The sequence below is a fragment of the Homo sapiens genome, chromosome 2, assembly GCF_000001405.40.
Source record: "Homo sapiens chromosome 2, GRCh38.p14 Primary Assembly".
In the NCBI taxonomy this organism is placed as follows: Eukaryota; Metazoa; Chordata; class Mammalia; order Primates; family Hominidae; genus Homo; species Homo sapiens.
Window position 1 is genome coordinate 42,758,786 of NC_000002.12, and position 7,011 is coordinate 42,765,796.

General features: G+C 55.0%; 1 protein-coding gene across 1 annotated transcript; it reads right to left on the reverse strand.

The window, feature by feature from the left end:
- Nucleotides 1-3,713: 3,713 nt before the first annotated feature.
- On the reverse strand, nt 3,714-5,350 carry OXER1 (oxoeicosanoid receptor 1). The gene has a single exon (NM_148962.5). It carries the CDS (start codon nt 5,275-5,277, stop codon nt 4,123-4,125), a length of 1,155 nt encoding a protein of 384 aa, NP_683765.2. The 5' UTR covers nt 5,278-5,350; the 3' UTR covers nt 3,714-4,122.
- Nucleotides 5,351-7,011: the final 1,661 nt, after the last annotated feature.

The following is a 7,011-nucleotide window of genomic DNA, read 5'->3' on the forward strand; positions in this document are numbered from 1 at the left end:
CAAAACATCTGTCCTCTGCTTAGTTTCATCTAAAGCTATTATCTTCTCTCCTTTTACTGGCACATTTGTTGAAAGGGGAAGAGTTGTCTCCATTACTTCAAATCTCATTAATTCCTCAACCCATTATAGCACTTTATGGCTTCCATTCTGCCCCCACCCCCATCCACTCACTGAAATTGCTGTCAATAAAGTCACATTTAATGACCTTCTAATTGTTAAATCCAATGCTATTCTTAAGTCATCCTCTTTGAGCTTTCTTGAGCATTTGAAGATGTTGTAGCCATATGAATTTTCTTCATTCGTTACACTAATCCCTTTATTCTCTACCCAAAGCAATGCTAAGTAACATGCAGATGTCATTCATAGTCGTTTTTTCAGATTTTTTTTACAAAGATAATTTCAGATCTAGTAGTAAATCACCTGTGTGCCACTTCCCATTTTTCCTCCATCTCAGCAGTAAGTACTCTCTTTAATTTAGTGTTTATCATCCCATACATGATTTTATACAATTAATGCGTATGTATGAATCCATAAATGATAGCATGTTTTGCATATTATTAAATTTCATACAATGACAACCTATCACTTTTTGAAAAGCTTTTAAAAAATAGACCCAGACAGTGCATTGTTAATCCAGGTTGTCCATCCAGGGTGTTCATTGACCAGACAGTGTCAGACATGGACACTGGTTTTCAGATCAACTCTCTTCAATATGTAATTAGGAAACACTTTTGAAAATGCTCTGTTCTTGCAGGAGGCACTTTGCAGACTGTCTGGGTATTTTATGTTTGGCTTTTACCTTCATAAAAGATGGCTTGATTCTGTCCTTTTTAATGGGCAATCTCTTACTTGGGTGAAGATTGCCTTGACTTCTTTTCTTCTGCAGTCCTGCTTTTTTCCTAAAGATTTTTTTTTTTTTTCTGAGCATTTCACTGGGTTTTCCTACATGTGTCCCTTACTTGCAGGGATTTTTTTAAAGGATGTTTCTTGATTCTCTTCATTCTCACCAGATGACCACATTCTTTCCCATAGCCCTGGTGAGTGGAAGACCCTTGCTTCTATCTCCAGTCCGAAGTGTGCTACTGTACATGTTTGCCTGGGTGTCTTCCAAGCCCCTACAACTTGTTTTACCTCCAAACCTGCTCCACCACCTGCATCCTCAGTGTGTCCCCCACACAGCCTCCCCATTTGGACCCTCCGTGGTCTCTGCTGCTGCCTTTCTTCAGGCCTTTGCTTGGAATACAGACATAGGTCATCTCCCACGTCCCCTACCCTCATGCTCTTGCCAGAGTAACTGATGAAAATGCAAACCAATCATCATCTTCCACTTAACAACCTCGTGCACACACCCGTCTCCTGCCATACTGTCTGCAGGATCAACCCAGACTCCTGGGCTTGGCACCAGGGCCCTTCTGGATCTGGTCCTTCCTGCCTTTCCTGCCTGTCCCCTAGCTCTGTGGTAGGCCTCCTCCTCTCTTGCCTCAGTGGTCTCCTCCCCACACCCCTGCACACTGAGTCTTCTCACAGCTGCATGCGCTGGCCATGCCCTTCCAGTGCCAGGGATGCCATTCTTTTCTCTCCTTCCTCATCCTCTGAGATCCAGCTTATGTGCATGACTTACCTGACAGCCCAGGCAGAGTCAGCTCTTCAAGCCTCTGCTCTCAGGGTGCATCACCACCTAAAAGACCCTGGCCTGCACTGGGTTGCATTGCGCTGGTTCCATTTGCAGGTCCGTCTCTCCCCGGCTTGGCCGGGGGGAGCTCAAAGTGAGAGTACAGTTGTCTGCCTTTGTAGCTCAGTGTCTGGCCCACGGCAGGTGCCCAGTAAGCACTGGCAAGTTAATGACTGCTGGCCTGTCACCCAGCCCTGCCTGCTTGCCCCCTGCTCAGGAGTCCCTGGAGGAAGGTAATGCATGCCATCTGATCCTCTCTCAGGGGGGCAGCAGATTATGTTAGGAGAAAGAAGAGAAAAAAGGGTGGAAGATGCTGCCCAAAATTCACACTGGATAGTGCAGCCTGTCCCCGGGACCAAAATGCCATTTAGAACCCAAATGTAGGAAATGGGGTCTCCGCCTGCCCCCAGCTCCCATTATACCACCACGGGGTACTACTCCATCTCTAGGAAACCCTACACTTAAACACAGTTTTCTTTCTCTTCCCACTCCTCTTCCTTCTCCCTTCCCTGCTCCACATAATAACTGCCTTCCTCACCAAGTGCTCTGGGCATATAGTTACTCCCATCCCCAGCCCCTGGAGCTGGGCAAGGGCCAGGATTACTATTCCTATTCACAGATGGAGAACTAAGTCCAGAGAAGGGTACAGTGGGCTGGGGCCATAGTTCGGACCAGGGAGTCAGTCCTACCTCCATGTGGCGGCAGCCTGAAGCCTGCTTCGCGAGGGAGCACCCAACCCCGTTTAGAGAAGGCCTTGCAAATGATGGAAAGGCGGGGAAGGGTGGTGTGACCCAGACTGTCAGTGAGGAAGCAGTCCTCAGGGTCAAGATGGGGAGCAAGGAGAATCCAGGGCAGGTTAGGAGTGCGGGCCTGAACCCTGTGACCAGCATCTACCCAGGAACTCCTCAAGGGCAGCCTCTGCTCTCTCCCTTGATGGGAAAAGACAGGACTGCAGACATGCCTGCAAACCATGGGAGTATCTGTCCATTTCCCTTCCATCAGGTCATGAAGGAGTGAGGGCAGGTGCTGGGAGAGGTGCGAGGACTTGAGGGAGGAGTTGGTAGGAGAAGGGTCCAGGGAAGAGGAGATTGAGGAAATGGCCCGTGGAGCTGCCCTGAGCCCAGGTGGGCGCATTCAGGGGCAGAGATGGTACCAGAGGAAAGGTGCCTGGTGTTGAGCTGGCGGTAAGTGTTGGCGCCCCAGGTGGGGATCCACCCGAAGGAGCTGCTCAGTCCCCATCCTCCAGGAGTGTGCAGGCCTTTCCTAAAAGACCTGACTCAGGCTGAGGTGGCCCCGCCCAGGGTTGGACTCCCTTCCCTGTGGTGACAGAGGGCGTGGAGAAGCAGGGACCCCCTAGGCGTGGCTCCAGGGAGTAAAAGGGAGCAGTAGGAGTTGAGGGGGCAAGAGGGGCCCATGGGGAGCCGAGAGACAGAAGAGCAACCCTGGGGGGGGCCCAGGTGGCACCCCAGTACCTTGGTAGGTTTCTGAGTGCAGCAGGTAGATTTTCAGAACAGGGAAGTGGGCTGGAGATACACGGTGGAGGCGGGGTCTGGTACTCACCCGCTCATCCTTCCCGGGCCCACCTCCCTCTGCCTGATACTTTTTCTCTCGCTCCCTCCCCAGCATCCACATGGACCCTTGATGCCACCCTCCTGGTCTGTGTGTGACACTTCTGGGCTTTCACTTCTATTCCTGACGACTTTAGTAGCTGGGGTGCGTCCTGTCCATGATATGAGAGGGCTGGGCTAAGTGGATTGAGGGAACTGGGGAGGGATGTTAGGTCCCCAGCATCAAACTCTGTACCCGAGGGCCTGGAGCCCTGGTGGCCTGCCTGAGGCCTCACCCAAGAAAGCAGTTCTGCCTTTCAGGACATGCCGGGGCTTCCCAGAAGTTCTGGGAAGGACAGTGCCCCCTGGGATGGGGCTGTGGGATGGCTTCCCCACTCTCTCCCAAGTTTCCCTTCACCTTGGGGCGCTCACTTTGACGCCTACTGACAGTCCCAGGTTAGAATTAAAGACAGATATTTGGTCTTGCAAATAAATATATTTAAAAGGGAAGTTTATTAATATTGGAAGGGACAAACTGGAGAGCACAGAACATGCAGCTGTCCAATTTCTAAGGTGACTCTGCTGTGACAGTGATTGGCGTCTGTCCCCTGCAGCTGCGCAGGCCCCTGTCTGAGCTGGTGTGCCAACGGCACCTTGCCTGTCTCCTCCACCCGGCATCCTGCTCTCCCCTGCATTCTGGGAATGCCATCCTGGACACACTGAGAGGCCTAGGTGGGTTTCTCTCCCTGCCACCCACCTGAGTCCTGCCAGTGCTTTGGCCTGGCCCCTGGTCTGCCGCCATCCCTTGTCCAGTTGGTTGAGGCACCGTGTGCTGGCCTTGTCCCTCCAGGCCAGAGCGCGGCAGCCCTTACCCCCACAGCGCTGCAGCCCTGCAGCTGGCCCTCAGCCCTGGGAGGAGCCTTCCTTTTCCAGAGAGACCTCGCCCTGCACTTTCAGCTTCCCTATGGCCTCCGCCTTCCTAGAGGCCTCCCGGTAGCGCCACTGCCTGGAGGGTTGGTAGGAGCTCTCGTCGCTCACTGGGCCCTGCCGGCCCCGCGTGAGGCCCAGCAAGGCCCGGCTCTGGTGGAGGAAGTTGGGGCTAGAGAAGCAGTAGAGCACGGGGTCCAGGACACTGTTGAGGTAGGTGAAGGCCAGGGAGCCATGGAAGAGCTGTGTGCAGAGGTCCAGGGATCGGCAGGCGGACAGCCAGAAAGCCACCATGGAAGCCATGCCAAAGATGATGCTGGGCAAGAAGCAGATGGTGTAGACGGCCACCACCATGGCCAGCACACGCATGGCCCTCTGCGGGCCTGCCTGCCCGCCCAGACCACGGTTCCGGATGGTGAGCCCAATGCTCACAATAGCAAAGAGGATGAGCGCCAGTGGCAGGAAGAACTCCAGCAGGTACAGTGCCTGGTGCCAGCGGAGCGAGGCCGAGGGCTTCGTGCCCACCCTGTAGCTGAGGCAGGAGGGGCCGGAGAAGGTGCTCAGGAGCAGGTGCCCGTTGAGGAGCAGGATGCCCACCCAGAGTCCCCCGGCCACCCGGGCAGCTGCCCCCACGGAAGCACGGCTCAGCACGTGGTGGGGCTGCACCACCTTCAGGTAGCGGTTGAGTGCGATGGCTGTGAGGAAGACAACGCTGGCCGTGCGGTTGGTGGACAGCATGAAGAGGTTGACTTTGCAGGCAGCAGCCCCAAAGCGCCAGGTCTCATGGAGGAGGTAGTAGTCCACGCGGAGGGGCAGGTTGCTGATCAGGAGGAAGTCAGCGGCCACCAGGCTGACCAGGAACACCGTGTTGGAGGTCCAGGGCCGCGTGTGGATGCAGAAGATGAAGAGGGCCAAACTGTTCCCCACCAGGCCCAGGACAAACTCCAGGGCCAGGATTGGTGCCAGGAAGGCAGACACCAGCGAGGAAGAGGTGGGGTGGCAGGGCCCTCCAGAGGACCCCCCCACAGTGGTAAAGGCAGAGGGAGCAGAGGAGGGTGAGGGAGAGAAGGAGGGAGGGAGAACAGAGGAGGAGAGAGAGGGAGATGGAGAGCTCAGGTTATGAAGTTCCATGGGCTGCTTGGGCCATGGGCCTGAGAGAAGGTTCTGGAGTCTTCTACCCCTGCAGGAGTGCTCAGGGCAAAGTGGGATGATTGGCACTATCAGCTGGCCACCACGGTGACACAACATCCTGGGGTTTTCATCAGCATTCTCGCAGCCACTGAGAAACACCCTGTGTTCCTGTTTGCAGGCCAAGGGGAACCCTGCAGCCCTCCCTCCTTCCCTCCGCCTCGGGGTACTGAGTGATCCCACCACATGAGGTCTCTGAGCCCAGCCTGGGGGTTGTGCTGCTGGTAGAGGAGGAAGCAGGGCTCAGCAGGGGCAAGATGGAAGCCCAGAGAAACCCTGAAGTGGGAGGATAGTCCAGCCGGGTGAGGTGGGGGCTCTCAGGATCATGCAGCCCTCCCTGGACACCCCCTCCTCCACTACATATAGAGGCTGGTGGCTGCCTCCCTGCCCCCACCAGCTCTGGCTTCAGGGACTGTGGAGCCAAAAGGACATTGTCCTGAGAGGTAGGCAGGGAGTCAGTGAAGACCTCCACCGCCCTGCTGGTGGCCTGGAGGGAACCAGTCCTATTTGTGCTCCGCCAGCCTGCTGTGTGTCTGAAAGCCCACTGTAGTTCAGCTTTCAGTTGCTCCCAGGTTCCTGATGGTTCCGAAGTCTGTGATGGTCCCAAGTCCGGGTACACGGTGAAGTAGGCCCCATGGACGGGGACGCCCCTGCCAAATTTCTACTGCCATGGCACGGGGAGCTGGGGGCTTCTCCCGCAAATAGAACAATCCTGATTTTTCCCTGTCTGTGTCTCCCCATGGCTCCTTGTCCACTCCACTCCTTGCCCCCATTAGCATTCACTGCGGAATAGGGAGTGGGAGGCTGGGGCTAGCTCCAGACAAGGTACAAGTCCAGCTGTCCCATGGTGAGGTATTCTCATGAGCCCATGGGCTGGTCCTGTGGGTGGAGATGAGGGCTTCAGGCTCCTGATAACCCGGGACAGCAGGGCCAAGGGAGGTGCTGGTTCCAGGCTCCAGGGCCTGACCCCATCACTGCCAACTGGCTGGGGTCAGCAGTCTGCCATGTGTGGCCTGGCCTCTGTGTCCCAGGCACAGTGGCCCCTGGCCTCTCTTGGCTGCCCTGGGCTCCCATTTGGTCAAGGCTGAGGGCAAACATCCCTGGGAGAAGCAGGGTGGTGAGGCCCAGCCTAAGCTCCATATGCAGACAGGCCTGGGTTGGAAACAGAGCTGCCCTATTTCCAAACCTCTCTGAGCCTGATCTGTAAAATCAGGCACTACCACCTTCTTGGAGAGTTGTGAGGATAAAATGAGATAATTTATGTAAAAACTTATAGGCCAGGCACAGTGGCTTAAGCCTGTAATCCCAGCACTTTGGGAGGCCGAGGCGGGCAGATCACGAGGTCAGGAGATCGAGACCATCCTGGCTAACACGGTGAAACCCCGTCTCTACTAAAAATACAAAAAAAGTAGCCGGGCGTGGTGGCAGGTGCCTGTAGTCCCAGCTACTCGGGAGGCTGAGGCAGGAGAATGGCGTGAACCTGGGAGGCGGAGCTTGCAGTGAGCTGAGATCGCGCCACTGCACTCCAGCCTGGGCAACAGAGTGAGACTCCGTCTCAAAAAAAAAAAAAAAAAAAAAAACAAACTTCTAGGGGATTCCTTGGGACAGAGCGAGTGTTCACAAAAACAGATCTAATTTTCATGACTTTCTCTCTGGATTAAGCTTGCCCTGCATATG